Here is a 16,833-nt window from a genome sequence, read left to right on the forward strand (position 1 = left end):
ATTTTTAAATATATTATGCAAATTACTTATTTTTATGTTATTTCCTGTCTTCCCAGTAAAAGGTAGGCTCTCTGTCTGTTGTGTGGACTAGCACATCCCAAGCACCTACACAGGACCTGGAACATAGAGGGCACCTGGTGAGCATTTTTGAAATGAACATGCCTGCAAATTTGTAAGTTTGGGGCCATCATCTGTCCCAGCATACCCTTTACAGATAAAACAATGAGGACAAAGCATGGGCACTCCGAACACAAGACTCAAGCATAGAAGGGTGGTGCATTTCTGATGGAAAACTCTTACTCTTATTTAAAATGGCATGTGCCATTATAGTAGTCCCATGGATATTTTAATATCTATTTTAGGTAAGGAAAACTAGTCATCATCACTATCCCTTTTTAAAGATTAGATTGGGAAACTTCACAATTGAATACATTTCTAGGCAATTTGCAGTCTAAACTGTAAGTTAGATCCAAGGGTTACCAACCTCTATTGCTTCTAAAAGTTCATAATGATCCCTTAGCTCATGAGTAATAACCGTAACTATTTTAGAACAGGGTATGCATTTTTAATTTACTTTGAATAAAAGCACAGTTTATATTTGGTGGCAAGAATTTGCTTCTAACAGTATGTAATTAAAAGTAATTATAGAAAAAAATGCAAGAAGATTGGTATTCTAAAATATTCAAACAACTCTATTTGCCATTTATAAGAATAAAGGCAAGAAAGATAAAGCCACAGATTTCAAATACATAGTTAAAGAAAACCACAAAACCCTTTAAGGCTCCCATGTATGTCAAAAACAGAACTAAACTACCTTTGGCTATTTGCAAGTACAGTGGCCTGGCCACATGGAACGCCTCATGCCATGGAAACAAGGTAAGATTGCTGGGCTCCATCCATTTGTAACTCACCTGCAATACTGCCACTATATATTTTTTTAACTTGTTGTAAAAGTAGTAAATACATTTAAAGACTATTTGAAAAACAGAACACATACTTTCTAACTCACCAGGAGTCTCATTATTCTCACAACTCAGTTAGCAGTTTGCTCTTGTCCCATAGGGTGCTCCCCACTTTGTCTGGGGACCTTCCCTTTCCTTGAGTCAGCACCAAGTAAGGCAGACCCCTTCTATCCATCAGGTCTCAAGAAGTCTATAGAAAGCTGACTCCGTGTCCTCCCCTGCTTATTGCTTTCTCTCCTGGCAGAGGTGGAAGAGTGGAAATGGACTTGGGCTAATTGCACAGCTGTGCATATGCCATGCTCCCAAAAGCTGCACACCTGAGTAACATAGAATCTTGAGCTGTCTGGGTGAAAGACATCAGTGAATTCCAGGCCAGTAACATCCCAGAGCTCTGGACCCCAACACCACCTCCTCCTCTAAATAGCTTCTCAATGTCACCTGAAGAGTCACAGGAGAGAACAGCAGTGTTTTATCATCATTCGGTGGCTGGCTCTGTAAACTCTTTCTCTCTCTTAATGAGTGAAGGCCAAAGGAAGGGAAGCTGGTGGAAGAGGGCTTACCTGAGGGTACAGCAGCAGTGCCGAAAGGTACAGAACTAAACACATCTGCACTCGCTGGAAGGGTCTGAGATGAAGATGGGATAAAGGCATCACCTGGAGTTGCAGGAGTCTGCCAGACAGAGAGAGGCAGAGGACACATGAGACCTGGCTTAGCAGTCATCAAGGCTGGGAGGTAGCAGATGCAGGAATTAAGGCGCAGGGGAAGGGGTCCACAGTTCAAGCCACTTATGGGGTGTGCAGCCCATGTGCTGGTTACATACACTTTATCTATATGGGAAATGACACCTCCAGAGCTACTGTGAGGATTAAGTGAGATTATGTAATTAAATTATTTTACATTACTTAAATTTTTAGCACCGTGCATAGGCATGTAGTAGGTGCTTGGCAAATAATGGCCAGTATCCTAATGATTTAGTTTGAGCCCCTACTCCCTGGGGGGTGTTTTCAGGTATCAAATTTTCCATAATATTTGGCACTCACCCTTTAGAGGTGGCCAACTCAAACTGAAATACACCCACTCAAGACCTACTGTGTGCCCAGCTCAGGGGTTGCAATTTAATACACGGTCAATGAGCAGTTGTTGACTAAATCAACACACAAAATTTAGCAAGTGGTGCACAGACCCTTGTATCCTGGTGCCCCCCCGCCACACCCCCCGTCAGCGCCCCAGATTTTGCCTGAATCTTCATTTGCAAAAAGAAGTAAATATTTTCAAGAAGACAACAAGAAACAATGCTTGCACCACTGAAAATTCTACAGGGCCTAGTCGGTGCTGGAATTCCAAAAAGGTCTGCTGCATGGACTGGTGGGCAAGATGGGGGATACAGAAATGAAAACATCAGTACTCATAATTTTGTATATGTCCACACCCATTTATAGCAGGCTTTTGCCTACAGAGTGTAAATCTGTTCGATGCTGTAATATCCTTTTTTTTCCCCTTGGAATAGGCTGGGGCAAGCAATTAATCCTGAAATCATGGCAATTAGACAAGGCCATTTTTAGACTAGCAGCTTGCAGGACGAATGGCATTGTTCTGAGGATTATTAAATACCCATTTGGACTGCGCTTGGGTTCAGGGCCAGAAACACAGCCATGAGCTGCTGTGTTAAGCACTTTTAAACACAGTCAGTGCTGTTCTTTCTTTCCCCTTTGTGACCTTGGGTGAGTCACATGTCCTCTCTGGGACTCAGTTTGCTCATCTGTAAAATGAAGGGGATAAGGTTAGAAGATCTCTTCAACCCTTTCTAGCTGCATAGCCCTGCCGTTCTGCAACTCCAAGTTCCCAGGAAGAAGCTTTTAGCCCAGGATAAAGGGTAGAATGACAATCGCTAGAGCCATCCAGCTTCTTTGGGGACAGAGGCTGCAGTCCCCTCCCTCAAGGCTGCCTTGGACATCAGGTGTTGGCAGCAGGGCAGCTGTGCCTAGATTCCCTGGTGGCAGCAGTGGGCAGCAGTGTCTTGTGCCATCTGTCCTCAGTGGTGAGGTTACAGCCTTTTCTCTGTGAGGCGCATCTTGCCAATGAACCATAGCACCATCCCTCGGTTTGCACAACTGCGCAGTGCCCAGAGGAGCTGTCCCCTCCCGGCAGCTTCAGCTGGTGCAGCTGCGGCTGACTGCTCTCTGCCCTCCTCCGGGAATGGGCAGGGGAGGGGCTGGAGGGGCCATCTCGGCTCTTTTCTTTGCAGTGGTGGCAGAATTGCTTTTGAATGCATCCAGCACTGGGATTCTGTTTTGCTTTGGTGTTAATTCTGTTTTCTTCTTTTCGTTTTCAAATTAGGTTCTCCCTGCAATCTCTGTCCTTTTGTAAGCACTGACTGAGGTACACTGGCTGAAGCTGTGGCTGGGAATCCAGAGCTTCTTGAGAAGCTCAGTGAGGCCCAGGTCATGGTCTGCAAAGCTGAAGGGCAGGCTGGAAGGGAGGGAAGAAACAAAAAGGAGGGAGAGAGGAAAGAAAGAGGGAAAGGAGAGAAGGATGGGCAGAGCAGGGTGTGGGGAGAAGATCCTTCCTTTACTGGGCTGACCACCTATGCTGTACTGGGCTTGGGGCAGGTGCTGACAAATGCCTCATCATATGTGCTATCCCGAGTTTCCTGCCTACAATCCCAACCAGACGATGTGCCCCTTGTAGTCAGGAAGCACATCTCCTTCGGGCCTTTCTTCTCAGACCACAGCAGAACAGCAAGCACCCAGGCAAGTCCTGTCATTGCTAAATGCATGGTCTCGTTTATTTCTCAAAACAGAGGCATATATCATACTTCCCCTTTATAAATAGCCAAGCAAATTAAGGATCAGAATGACTAGTTAGTTTGTCCAAGTCACACAGCTTGAAAGAGTCAACACTGAAATCCACCAGCAGCCCTCTTTCACTCAAAGCCCATATTCTGGCCACTGAGGGGATGTGTAAAGAAAGGAATTCAGAGAGCAGGGTTCAGAGAGCAATGCATACTTACGGGGGGAGAGGTTATATCAGGGGGTGTGGACATGTCCCCAAAAAGTTCTAATTGGGTCACAGCCTGTAAAGACAAAAAGGTAATCATGTGACTACAAAGAAAGCTGGTGCTGCTGGGCCCTGCTTTACACACAGTATGGTATGGGGATACACATTTCTGTTTTTCATCATCTCTAGATAAACCGTAATCCTGATGGGTCATTACTATACCTCAGGATCCCAAAGGCAACATCTTGAATGCAGCCAGAATCAATTCTTGCTTCCTTGCATCTGGCTATTTATCTAGGCTTGGTCAAGACTGCCCATTAATCACTTCCCATAAGCAGTAATAACATTACTTCACACTTATTTACCATCAAATGCCAGCAATGTCTCTCTTTTCTAGGAGATAAAGGCAGGGAGGCAATCCCATCATTGGTTTTTCTCTCATGAGTGTATCCACACATACAACTTGCCTTCCATGTGCAAGTATGGACATGACTTCATGGTCACGTCAGTAAGGGCTCCCAATAGCATTCACCCTGAGAGGTAGGAATCATCATCCTCATTTTTACAAATAAATAAACTAAGTCTCAGGGATGTGGCATCAAGGTCATCCAGGCCACGATTTAAATTTTCTGAATACAGAGAATGCAGTCAAACAGCACTCTCTGAAAGAGTCCATCTTTAGGATAAAAAAATGTGGTTGGAGGAAAAGAAAACATTTCATTTAATACCAGGAAAGGCATCAAAAACAACCCAGTGTATACACCATTAATCACTCCTAGGAACTCCATCACTGCAGACACTGCATCATCTCTCTCCCCATCCATCATATGGGAGTGTCTGAGCAAGGCCAGCCACAGCAGCTAAAGAAACCCTTTAAGATACACTTAGAAATTAATCTGCATAAACTGCCAGATTCACAGACTCTAGGGAGTCTATGGCGTGACTTAATTATGACAAGTATGTAATCACATGCTTTGTACAAACCTGTCCACTAAGGAAAAACCACTTTTCCCTTATCTTCAGATCTTAAGTGATAGCTTCAAACTGGGGGAACTTAGACATACCACTTAGTAGAAGGGATGTGAAGAGTCCGACTGCCCTGCCACACAGGACTCCTGCACTCAAACCGCTCTAACCAGGTCATGGCTGGATCTCTAGGTTCATCCAAAGAAGGGAATGTTCTTTCCTACTGGCAAGTGAGCAAGCTTTGGGCTCTGGAAAAGGTCCCACACTCCATGCCTGGGGGTGTGGAGTACTGGTAAGATAAACCACAAGAGAAAGGAGCCCCAGGTCAGGGAGGGTCCCAGATGGGGAAGAACAAGGAATAATTGTTCTGAGGGATGGTTAATCACAAACAACCCAAGGGCACAACCACCTCGTTTGCAGGTAGCCCCTCCAGCACAACCCTATAAAACTTCCATCCAGCCCCTGCCTCTTTGCAGACAGCCCCTTCTCTGCTGTGCTGCCCACTGCAATCTTGCAATGTATTTTCATACTTTCTCTAATAAGTCTACCTTTCTTTACCCACAAATGTCTTCATAAATTCCTTTACTGCCTGGACCGCTGGGCCCAGATAGTAGCTACCCCCCAACAGGGGGTATATTTGGATTCTACCACTTTCAATATCTGCAACTCCTCAGAATTACAGTTCCTTCATCTGGGCAATGGAGATGATAAGATCTCCTTTGCAGATGTATTGACAATATTAATAGGAGAACTTTCTTTGATGTTTGGTTAAGACTGGTTGAAAGAGCACAAAAGTCTCTTTTTGCTGAAAGGAGACAAGCTTGGCTTTGTTAACTTACTTGCAGCTCTTCCTTCCCTTTCAGCTTTCAGATTGAATAACAGTGCCTGGCACACAGTAGGGCCCTATAAGGACTGATTTTCTTTCCAGCTGCACAATAATTTTTCATAAATGTTCAACAACTGCTAGATGCTGGGCACTGTGCTATGTGCTGGGAACATAAAAATGAGAAATGCCAACTCTCAGCCTGCAGAGAGTTTACAGACTGGTGGGGAGGTTATCCAATCTGTAGATGCAAATAATCTCAGGTAATGCAGCAGAAATAGCAACAGGGGTCTCTACAAGATGCTGTGGGAGTACCTAGAAGGAAATTGATCTGGTTTGGCTGTGTCCCCACCCAAATCTCAACTTGCATTGTATCTCCCAGAATTCCCACATGTTGTGGGAGGGACACACGGGGAGGTAATTGAATCATGGGGGCTGGTCTTTCCCATTCTGTTCTCATGATAGTGAATAAGTCTCACAAGATCTGATGGGTTTATCAGGGGTTTCCAATTTTGCTTCTTCCTCACTTTCCCTTGCTGCTGCCATGTAAGATGTGCCTTTTGCCTTCCGCCATGATATTGAGGCCTCCCCAGCCATGTGGAATTGTGAGTCCAATTAAACCTCTTTTTCTTCCCAGTCTTGGGTATGTCTTTATCAGCAGCATGAAAATGGACTAATACAGTAAAATTGTTACCAGTAGAGTGAGGTGTTGCTGAAAAGATACCCAAAAATGTGGAAGCAACTTTGGAACTGGGTAACAGGCAGAGGTTGAAACAGTATGAAGGGCTCAGAAGAAGACAGGAAAATGTGAGAAAGTTTGGAACTTCCTAGAGACTTGTTGAATGCCTTTGCCCAAAATGCTGATAGTGATAAGGACAATAAAATTCAGGCTGAGGTGGTCTCAGATAGAGATGAGGAACTGGTTGGGAACTGGAGCAAAGATGACTCTTGCTATGTTTTAGCAAAGAGACCAGTGACATTTTGCCCCTGTCCTAGAGACTTGTGGAACTTTGAATTTGAGAGAGATAATTTAGGGTATCTGGCAGAAGAAATTTCCAAGCAGCAAAGCATTCAATAGGTAACTTGGGTGCTGTTAAAAGCATTCAGTTTTCTAAGGGAAGCAGAGCATAAAAGTTTGAAAAATTTGCAGCCTGACTACGTGATAGAAAAAAAAAATTTCTGGGGAGAAATTCAAGCCAGCTGCAGAAATTTGCATAAGTAGCAAGGAGTCTAATGTTTATTCCCACAATCATGGGGAAAATGTCTCCAGGCCATGTCAGAGACCTTCATGGCAGCCCTTCCCATCACAGGCCTGGAGGCCCAGGAGGAAAAAGTGGTTTTGTGGGCTGGGCCCAGGGTTCCTGTGCTGTATACAGTCTAGGGACTTGGTGCCCTGTGTCCCAGCCACTCTAGCTGTGGCTGAAAGGGACCAATGTACAGCTCAGGCTGTGGCTTCTGAGGGTAGAAGCCCCAAGTCTTGGCAACTTCCATGTGGTATTGAGTCTACGGGTGCACAGAAGTCAAGAATTGAAGTTTGGGAACTTCCACCTAGATTTAAGATGATGTATGGAAATGCCTGGATGCCCAGGCAGAAGTTTGCTGCAAGGACAGGGCCCTCAGGAAAACTCCTGCTAGGGCAGTGTGGAAGGGAAATGTGTGGTCAGAGCCTCCATACAGAGTCCTACTGGAGCTCTGCTTAGTGGAGCTGTGAGAATAGGGCCACTGTCCTCTAGACCCAGGAATGGTAGATCCACTGATAGCTTGTACCATGAGCCTGGAAAAGCCTCAGACACTCCATGCCTGCCCATTGAAAGCAGCTGGGAGGGAGGCTGTACCCTGCAAAGCCACAGGGGAAGGGCTGCCCAAGACCATGGGAACCTACCTCTTGCATCAGCGTGACCTGGATGTGAGACCTGGTGTCAAACAAGATCATTTTGGAGCTTTAAAATTTGACTGCTCTGCTGGATTTCAGACTTGCATGGGCCCTGTAACCCTTTTGTTTTGGCCAATTTCTCCCATTTGGAATGGCTGTAATTACTCAATACCTGTACCTCCATTGTATCTTGGAAGTAACTAGCTTGCTTTTGATTTTACAGATCATAGGCAGAAGGGACTTGTCTTGTCTCAGATGAGACTTTGGACTGTGGACTTTTGGGTTAATGCTGAAATGAGTTAAGACTTTGGGGGACTGTTGGGAAGGCATGATTGGTTTTGAAATGTGAGGACATGAGATTTGGAGGGGCCAGGGGCAGAATGATATGGTTTGGCTGTGTCCCCACCCAAATCTCAACTTGAATTTTATCTCCCAGAATTCCCATTTGTTGTGGGAGGGACCCAGGGGGAGTTAATTCAATCATGGGGGCTGGTCTTTCCCATGTATTCTCATGATAGTGAATAAGTCTTATGAGATCTGATGGGTTTATCAGTGGTTTCTGCTTTTGCATCTTCCTCATTTTCTCTTGCTGCTGCCATGCGAGAAGTGCCCTTTGCCTTCTGCCTCTCCCCAGACAAGTGGAACTGTGAATACAATTAAACCTCTTTTTCTGTCCAGTCTTGGGTATGCTTTTATCAGCAGTATGAAAACAGACTAATACAGAGGCCCAACCAGCTTTTGGCAAAGTTTAAGAAGGTTTTCTAAAGGAAATAGCCAGGAGCTGAATCCTGAAGGAGAGGAGCCATGTGACCAAAAAGAGGAGACCATCCAGGCAGAGGAAACTGCTTAAAATGGCCAGAGGCCCAGAACAGAGTAGGTAGGTGGTAATGGAAGCAGTTCACTGTTACCAACATGAAGGTGGGAGAGAGGAGGCCAGTGTGGTGGACAAGGGCAAGGTTGTGGTGGGAATTTCATACCTTTCCCAGCCTTTTCCATCAATTCCTGGCTATCTTGTTTCTCTTTCATACAGTAACAGCCCAGCAGCTGATGGGAATGAGGTGGACAGCACACAGGTGCTCTCCCAAATCTTGCTGGACTTGAAATGTTCTTCTTTGGTAATCCTTCTTTAGCACGTTAGCAATATTTGATATTATTTGGTGAAGCTATGCTAGTCTTTTAGACCCTCTTCCAAATTCATAAAAGGAATGTTTATTTAATCAATTCAAATGAAGCTTCTGGGCTTCTTTGAGACTGCAACTCTATGCTTTTAAAATGGGTCACAACTATTTTCAGTGTTAGGAAAATATTAAAATGAAGTTATTAATTAAGTCACACAATTTACATTTCAAATGTGTTGAACTCATGGCATACTTTTACTAACATCATAAATATAATTTATTGGCTAATTTTCTCCTTAAGCACAACTTTTAAAATAACCTTCATACTTGAGATATAGACTTTCCTTTTGCCAGATGATTTTCACTCAAGGATTAAACGAGAAAAACATGCAGAGGCATAAAACATAGATTGTTATTTCATTCCATTGGTTTGCTGTTTAAATAGAACCTTGAGTTAATTAAATTTTATAGAAAAAGGGGATTCTTGGGCCATAAAATTAAAAATAATCCTAATAACCATATGTGGTCAAGAATCTGAAATAGTATCTATTTTCACAGGCCTCCTCCCCATGTTAACCCCAGTCCTTTTATTTGTAAGCTAATAAACCATGTTCCATCTGATAATACTGCTCTAATGAATCATTTTAAAAGCCTCAAGAGAATAAAACTAACAATTCACATTTGCAAAACACTTTATAGTTTGCAATACAGTTTCAAATACATTATCATCGTGTTTGATACTCACTGAGCCCCGTAAAGTCAACAGCATAGGCGCCATTGTCACTATCTATGTTTCACAGATGAACTAGCTGAGGCTGAGGTTAAGTGACTCGCCTCTGATCAGTCAGCTAAAAGCAGCTGGGATGGACTTGACCCACACACCCACCAGCATCTTGTTCATCGATCCATCACTTTACCAAACCTTAGTTAGCCTTGCTAAATAGTGGAAGTCCAGCTCTACAACATTCTCTAACCAGAAATCTGGGTTGCTAGGAGGTCTTCCATGATGCACATCCATTTGAGGTCATTTGGAATGTCAGCTTGAGATGTCTATTTGCCAGAGAGTAAGGCCCTTCCATTACTGGCATTTCAAATGTCTCCTGGTAAAGAGAGATGTAGCTGGAGATGGCAGTTTTGCCCCTTTTTTAGCCCCCTGGGCATTTTCCAGGGGTAAGAAGAGTGATATTGGAAGGTGTACAGGACAGTGAAGGAAAAGTAGCTTCGATGTTTAGGGAGGTAGTCCCCCAGTATCTCCATCAGGCCTGTTCTCTCCCCAGTCATTCTTTGATATGAACAAGTGATGGTTTTTCAGTAATATCTAGTTCAAGATTAGTATACTGGTCCTTCCAACTAGTTCACTGCAACTAGACCCCTAGGCCTTTCCCAAAGAGAAATTCTGAAGGCACCATTGATGGAGGCTGAGATGTCATGGCTGACCCCGAAAACACCTTCTCACAGACCCATTCCCTATGTTTTGGCATCAGGAGTTCTGTGACCCTTCAGTGGGCAGACATGGGAGTTCCTACCTTGCATCAGCTACCAAGAGCAAGGGCTACAGAGATAGGTAAGGCACATTCCTGTTCCTATTGTCATAAGCTGGCTGTTTTATGGAAACACAGACCCAGAGACACAATCAATGGAGGAGAGAAGCACAGGGGGTTATGAAAGAAGAGGCCATCTCAGGGTCTGACATGTGCTCCTCCTCCCACCTAGAACACTCATTCCTTCTCCCACACATCCTTCAGGACGCAAATTAGAAGGCTTTCTGTTTTGCTTCCTATGAAGTGGCTTCCTAACTCAATTTGTACCCTATTCCATTGCCCATGATACTCCCAGATCAGTGGTTCTCAACCTTGGTTGCACATTGAGATCATCTGCGGAAAAATTATTGATGCCTGGTTCCCACCCCTAAAGATTCAGAATTAATTGGTTTGAGGTAAAACCTAGTCACTGGAACTTGGAAAGCTCTCCTGATGATTCCAATTTGATGCCAAGGTTGAAGATTTTTGTCCTAGAGGTTTCCCAATACTGTATTTAGGAGTGGTAATATTCATTGGCTTCTGTATCAATCAATTTGAACAGATGTTGACTGCAACCAATATATTTATACCAGGTTATACTGACTGAATAGCAACCTCGCCTGTTTTTTATTCCCAGTGGTGTACTTGGCACGTCCTGTTCATGTATCTGAATTCCTACTATATCATGTTATACTACATATACTACACTAAGCTAGGCGAGGCTCTACTGTCATATCTTATCCCAGGCAATGTTGCACTATGTTACACTGTGAGCTTCTTTAGGAAAGCCCCTTTCCTCCATCTCTAGCATCTGTTAGGATGCCTGGGACATGTTAGAGGTTTGAAAAATATTGCTGGATGAAAAGAAGGGGTGCTATCTCCTCTCCAACATACACTTTTGTTTACACACACACACACACACACACGTGTACATACACTCTCACTATCTGACCTCATGGCAGGGCCCACCAATAGTCTTCCTGGGGACATTTGAATAGGTACCTACTAGAGCAGAGCAGGGCAGGAAATCTGCCATTCATGCAAGCTGGATGAAGAGAATATGGAATGCATGAGTATGAGCAGAACAACCTAATTTAACACAAACCTCAAGGCCTTACCTTCGTTGCCTCAAAAATCTCATCAAAGTCTGTGGGCAGGTTTCTGTTCTGTAACCACAAGGCATGACTGATGAGCATGAAATGAATGATGAGAAAATGACATGAAACAGTTAACCAGAGAGGGCTGTAATTCTTACCGGGGTGGCTGCAGCAAACCGTTCTTCAAAATCCTCAAACGAATAGCCATTCTGAAAGTGGAAGGGATGATGAATGAGGATGAAGTGAATGACACACAAATGACATGGATTTATGAGTTTAATGATGACAGTATCTATGGTTCACACTTCCGTGGTCTCAGTAGGCGGGAGCTGTTTCCAATGTCTGTGAAAATCTTGGAATATGTTTCTAGCATAAGCAGATGATAAAACATGGGTCTGATTAGGAAATACAGCAATGGTAAATTTGTAAGTTTAAAGTCCATCTTCCTGCAATTAGAGACATTGCCCCGCAGTTACAGACATCAGCAATGACCATGGATAAGAGCATGCTGTTTACACCTGAGATTTTTCTTTTAAAAGAATAGAATGTCATCTTGTGCTTTAGCCAAACTTTACAGCTGGTTTCCATGTGTTTTTATACATGTTGTCTTCTCTGCCTGAAATGCTCTTCCCCTCGGCCGGGCGCGGTGGCTCACGCCTGTAATCCCAGCACTTTGGGAGGCCGAGGAGGCGGATCACGAGGTCAGGAGATCGAGACCAGCCTGGCCAACATAGTGAAACCCCATGTCTACTAAAAATACAAAAAATTAGCCAGACGTGATGGCAGGCGCCTGTAATCCCAGCTACTCGGGAAGCTGAGGCAGGAGAATCACTTGAATCCAGGAGGCGGAGGTTGCAGTGAGCCGAGATCGTGCCACTGCACTCCAGCCTGGGTGACAGAGCGGACTCCATTTCAAAAAAAAAAAAAGAAATGCTCCTCCCCTCATCTCTGCAAGCTCAGTGCTCCCCAAATTCTTCAAACCCATCCCAAAAGCCACCTCCTCCATGAAGAGTTTCTCTATCTTTTGAATTGAAATCCTCCTGAGTGTCCTCAGTACATTATCTATGTATCTATGTCTATTACACCATGAACTTTCTCAAGCAGCTGGTAGAGGGTCTCCCCCTGCAGCTGGTAGAGGGTCTGGCACATAGCAGTCCTCAAAAATACAGAAATGAATGCACATTCGAGAAGTAGCTGGCAGTGGGCAACATTTAATTGCTTTGTTAACTTTGTATTTTATTGTTTATATTACACATTATAGGTATGTACAATATATCATATACATGTATATCTTAATGGCCATGTTCTAGTCTATGTATAAGCTAATTATTCTTTGGATGATTTCCAAATAGTAAAACATTAATATAAATCTGCTAATATGGACATTAAAATGGAGTTATTACGCATGAATAGTTTTGAGGAGAGCTTTTGGCAATGCAGGAGTGGGAAAACTATCACCCATAGCCTCGTAGTACTGTGCTTTGTCAGGATTTGCTTTCACCCTGTCTATAGGACATGTGACTGTTACTTCCCTCAGCCCCAGTTACAAAGTGCAGAGCAGAGCAGAGTGGAAGAATCAATGTGCCCAGGCCCTCTAAGGCAGAGCCTTCAGGTCAACCACCAACCACCTGTTTCCACCAGCCCATGGTTCAACATGACTTAACTGTGGCTTCAATGAGAGGAAAAGCCACCACATCAAATAACCATAGACATTATTATAATTATTATTTGGCCAGAGGTGGGGAGAGGTGGTGAGACAATATTAGTCTAAGTGATCCTATCATCTATGGTGTGGCCTAAGAGGTTAAGGTTATGTCGCTACATCCTTTATAAATTCACACACTCCTAGCAATTTATGGCAGAGCCCCTACCAACTAGCTCTGGGTCATAACTTTTAATAAAAACATTTTTTAGTGTCCAAAATCTCATTACATCTGTCCAATATAAAAAAGCAAATGGCTTCGGAGCATGATGGATGAATTAAATAAATTTGAAAAACAGCCTGTGGAAGAGGCTCATAAAACCCCCCACCATGTCCCATATAATGAAAATGTGGGAGGATAACCAGTGTCAGCATGAGCGTGTTGTCACCTTCCTGGGAAAGGAGAGGTGGCCTTTGGAGAGGTGTGGAGCTGAGGTGTGATGAGGCGATTTCTTTGAATTCAGTTGAAGATTGATCTGAGCAGATGAACAAATGCATTTTTTTGGAATCACATAGATATGGACCGGGTCTTGGTCACGTCAGGCCATGGATGTGCTGGCCATGTAACCCTTGACAAGTCAATTAACCTCAGTTTTCTCATCTTTAAAGTGGAGTGGGTAATGACATCATGGCAAGTTTATTGAGCAGTTTAATTGAGATGTGTGTGCAAAGTCTTGTTTGGTGTTTAGCACATAGTAGATGCCCAAGGAATAGTAGCTATTATTATCTTCTCCTATTTTTGGCTCATTTCAGTAACGCACATGCACTTTTTTTTTTTTTTTTTTTTTTTTTTTTTGAGACAGGGTCTCACTCTGTCGTGGGTTGGAGTGCAGTGGTACAATGTTGGCTCACTGCAACCGTTGCCTCCCAGGCTTCAGTGATTCTCCTGCCTCAGCCTCCCGAGTAGCTGGAATTATAGGTGCATACCACCATGCCTGGCTAATTTTTGTATTTTTAGTAGAGACGGGGTTTTGCCAGTTTGGCCAGGCTGGTCTTGAACTCCTGACCTCAGCCTTCCTCAGCCACCAAGCCCAGCCCCAATGCACATATTTTTTTAATGCTAGGAAATTATTATTACATAATATTTGGAAATAGAGGAAAAAGAAATGAAAATCTTTCCAATGGCCTCTCTTTAGAAACCACCTCCACTCAAGAGCCCAACACTTCCTAGACCTCCCATCCTTACTCCTGAACCCTTCAATCCATTCTTGACTCCATCTTCTCTCTTTTGCCCTGCTCTTGGCTACAGTCTTGCCTGATCATCTTCATCCCATCCGTATCTTTTTTTTACCTTGTGTCTACCTTACTGTTCTAACTCTGGCTCAGTCATTTCTCAGAGCTGCTCTCTTACAGCTACCTGTTTGGGGCAACCTTTGGAGACACCCAGTGCACTTCCTCCAGCCAGTGGGGAGATGCTGCCAGCTAATAAATACACTTTTTCCCAGGTGATTCTTATAGACAAAAACTGATCTACTCCCTAGTCTCTCCAAATTGCTAAATCTTGTTTTACCCACAATTACCACTTGAGTTCTAATTCATTTATATTAAAGTCTTTTTTGTTTTGTTTCTTACAGATTTTTTTCATACTATCATAGCATGTACACAGTTTTGTATTCTTTTAAAAACTCAACATGACATCAAATTTACTCGCAACTTAAGCTTCCAGTGAGGAAATATAAAAGAAGATATTCTCATGTTGTTTCAATATGGTTCTGGCTTGAATCATCATTAAAACATGGAAATAAAGTTCCCACAGGGAGTTTATCTTCCTATAATCTCTTTTCAAAACAGTGGGGACACTATGATTCCATTACTGAGTAAGGCAACAAGGAAGACCAGATTCATGTTATTCTTACAGGAAAAATGACAGTGGATAAGGGACTTGGGATAAAAAAAATCTCACAAAGGAAGAAAATCTTTTTTATGGCTTCCAAATCAGAAACCTGCTGTGGTTCTCACTCCTGACTGCACAGTGTAATCCTTTGGGGCAGCTACTAATGCCAGAGCCACATCATCAGAGATTTGGATTGTACTGGTCTAGGGTGGGGCCCTGGCATCAGTAGGTTTTAAAAGCTCCCCACGCTATGCTAATGTGCAGCCGGATTTGCAAATCACCATGCTGGGGAATAAACTCTCAGTAGGAATAATTAGCAGAAGGTTCCTAGGAAAACTGAAGCTGCCTTGATTGATTATGCAATTGATTAATTAGTTTCTTCAATGAACATTCACTGGGTGCTTTCCACATGTCATGTCCTGGCTGGGCACTGGAGATACCTAGATGAATAACACATGGTCCTTCTTTTCATAAGGTCAGAGCAGAGCTATGCTGTATAATCTTTGTAGCTTGGGGTGGACAGTTGTGTGACAAGGACCACACAAGGCTTCTAGATCTAAACTCAGAGCTCAGACCAAGGCTGAAAAACAAAAAACACAAAACGAAACAAAAATTCAATTATCCATTTAGAAGGCTCAAGAGAAATGGATTAACTTAAGTGATTTGTAACTGCACTAAGGTGGGTACTATTAAGGACACCTACAGATTCCAGGCATCTGAATGCATGTTACATTTCCCTAATGAAGGATTTAACAAGGAAGACACATGCTAATGGAGACTAATTCCTTCTGGGTTATCTAGGAGTTTATGCTATGCTCTTTATCACCTTTACCCAAGAGTGAACAGCCACTTTCCCATTTCTTGGCAGAGAGAGATGGGAAAGCTCTGTTTGGCAATTGAAGAACAAGGGCAAGTGGCTTGAGGTGGGGAATAGAAACTCTGATTTTAATAAATGGTTTAATAAATGGTCTAGAGACCAGCCCTGTCCAATAGAACTTCTTGGGATGATGTAAAGTTCTCTATCTGTGCTGTCCAATACAGCAGTCAGTAGATACATGCACACTTCAAATATGGCTAGCATGCCTGATGAACTAAATTTTAAATTTTATTACATTTTCATTATTTTTGATTTAATAGCTTCATGTGGCTAGTGGCTACAGTATTGGACAGCACGACTCTAGATAAAATATATTAAAAAATAAACTTCCAGTTAATGGGGTGCTTCCTAAATACTAGACATAGTCCTTCCTTACATATTCTCTTCTATTCTTTTAAAGAATATCCTATATTTGCATTGACTGGAAGATGTCTGTGGGAGAATTGATTTTTTTGCTATGTCTAGACAGTACCATGAAATCAAATTCAGTTTGCAAAAGCAGCCGACTTCTTCTAGCTATAAGAGGTTTTTTTTCATTGCCGGAGCTAAGTGAAAGCCAGATATTTGTGGAGTTTTTTAGAAGAAAGTTAAGATTCATGTTTCAAATGGAAATCCATGAAGCTTCATTAGAACTGAAACAAAATGGAATCCCATTTAATGCCAAAATGTGCCAGGCCTACTGAGATTTGGGGATCGGTGGTCTTGCTGGACTCAATACCTTGATCTAATAGAGAAATTGGTGCCTCTTTGAGGTTTTGTCTTTATAATGATTGAGACGTTGCCTCTAATTACTCCAATTTGGGCCTCACTTTAGCAGCTAATAGTCCTCCTTCTTCCAGCTTCCAATTCAGGAGGATCCCAAAGGTTGTACAGAAGGTTGGAGGATAAAGGGAAATGCTTCAATCTTACAATAAAAGTTACATCTTCCCTTGAAGTGCTCACACGTGTAATATATCCACAAATCCTTGGACAACAAAATATTTACATCCAGATTCTTACAAATTAAGCTGATTCTTGAAATGTTCTTTCTTAATATGCAAGGGGAAGTTCGGCATGGGGAATGT

General features: G+C 43.0%; 1 protein-coding gene and 1 long non-coding RNA gene across 12 annotated transcripts in view; one reads left to right on the plus strand and one right to left on the minus strand.

Moving 5' to 3' along the window:
* The window catches only part of DAB1 (DAB adaptor protein 1), a 1,551,949-nt gene that overhangs the window by 27,231 nt on the left and 1,507,885 nt on the right, over positions 1-16,833 (minus strand). For all 8 annotated transcript variants that reach the window (NM_001379461.1, NM_021080.5, NM_001379462.1 and 5 more), the window contains 2 exons: positions 3,973-4,035; positions 1,523-1,631 (listed from right to left, as the gene is read on the minus strand). In NM_001379461.1, coding sequence (NP_001366390.1) covers positions 1,523-1,631; positions 3,973-4,035 — 172 coding nt within the window. The remainder of the gene's footprint in view (positions 1-1,522; positions 1,632-3,972; positions 4,036-16,833) is intronic.
* Positions 1-16,833, plus strand: part of LOC105378748 (uncharacterized) — a 32,737-nt gene that overhangs the window by 5,475 nt on the left and 10,429 nt on the right. For 3 of the 4 annotated variants that reach the window (XR_007066123.1, XR_007066124.1, XR_001737649.2), the window contains exon 2: positions 57-137. This is a non-coding gene — a long non-coding RNA (uncharacterized LOC105378748). Of the gene's footprint in view, positions 1-56; positions 138-1,206; positions 1,540-16,833 lie in introns of those variants that run through there. The other variant, XR_001737651.2, reaches the window with a different exon arrangement.

The sequence above is a fragment of the Homo sapiens genome, chromosome 1 (assembly GCF_000001405.40).
Source record: "Homo sapiens chromosome 1, GRCh38.p14 Primary Assembly".
NCBI lineage: Eukaryota > Metazoa > Chordata > Mammalia > Primates > Hominidae > Homo > Homo sapiens.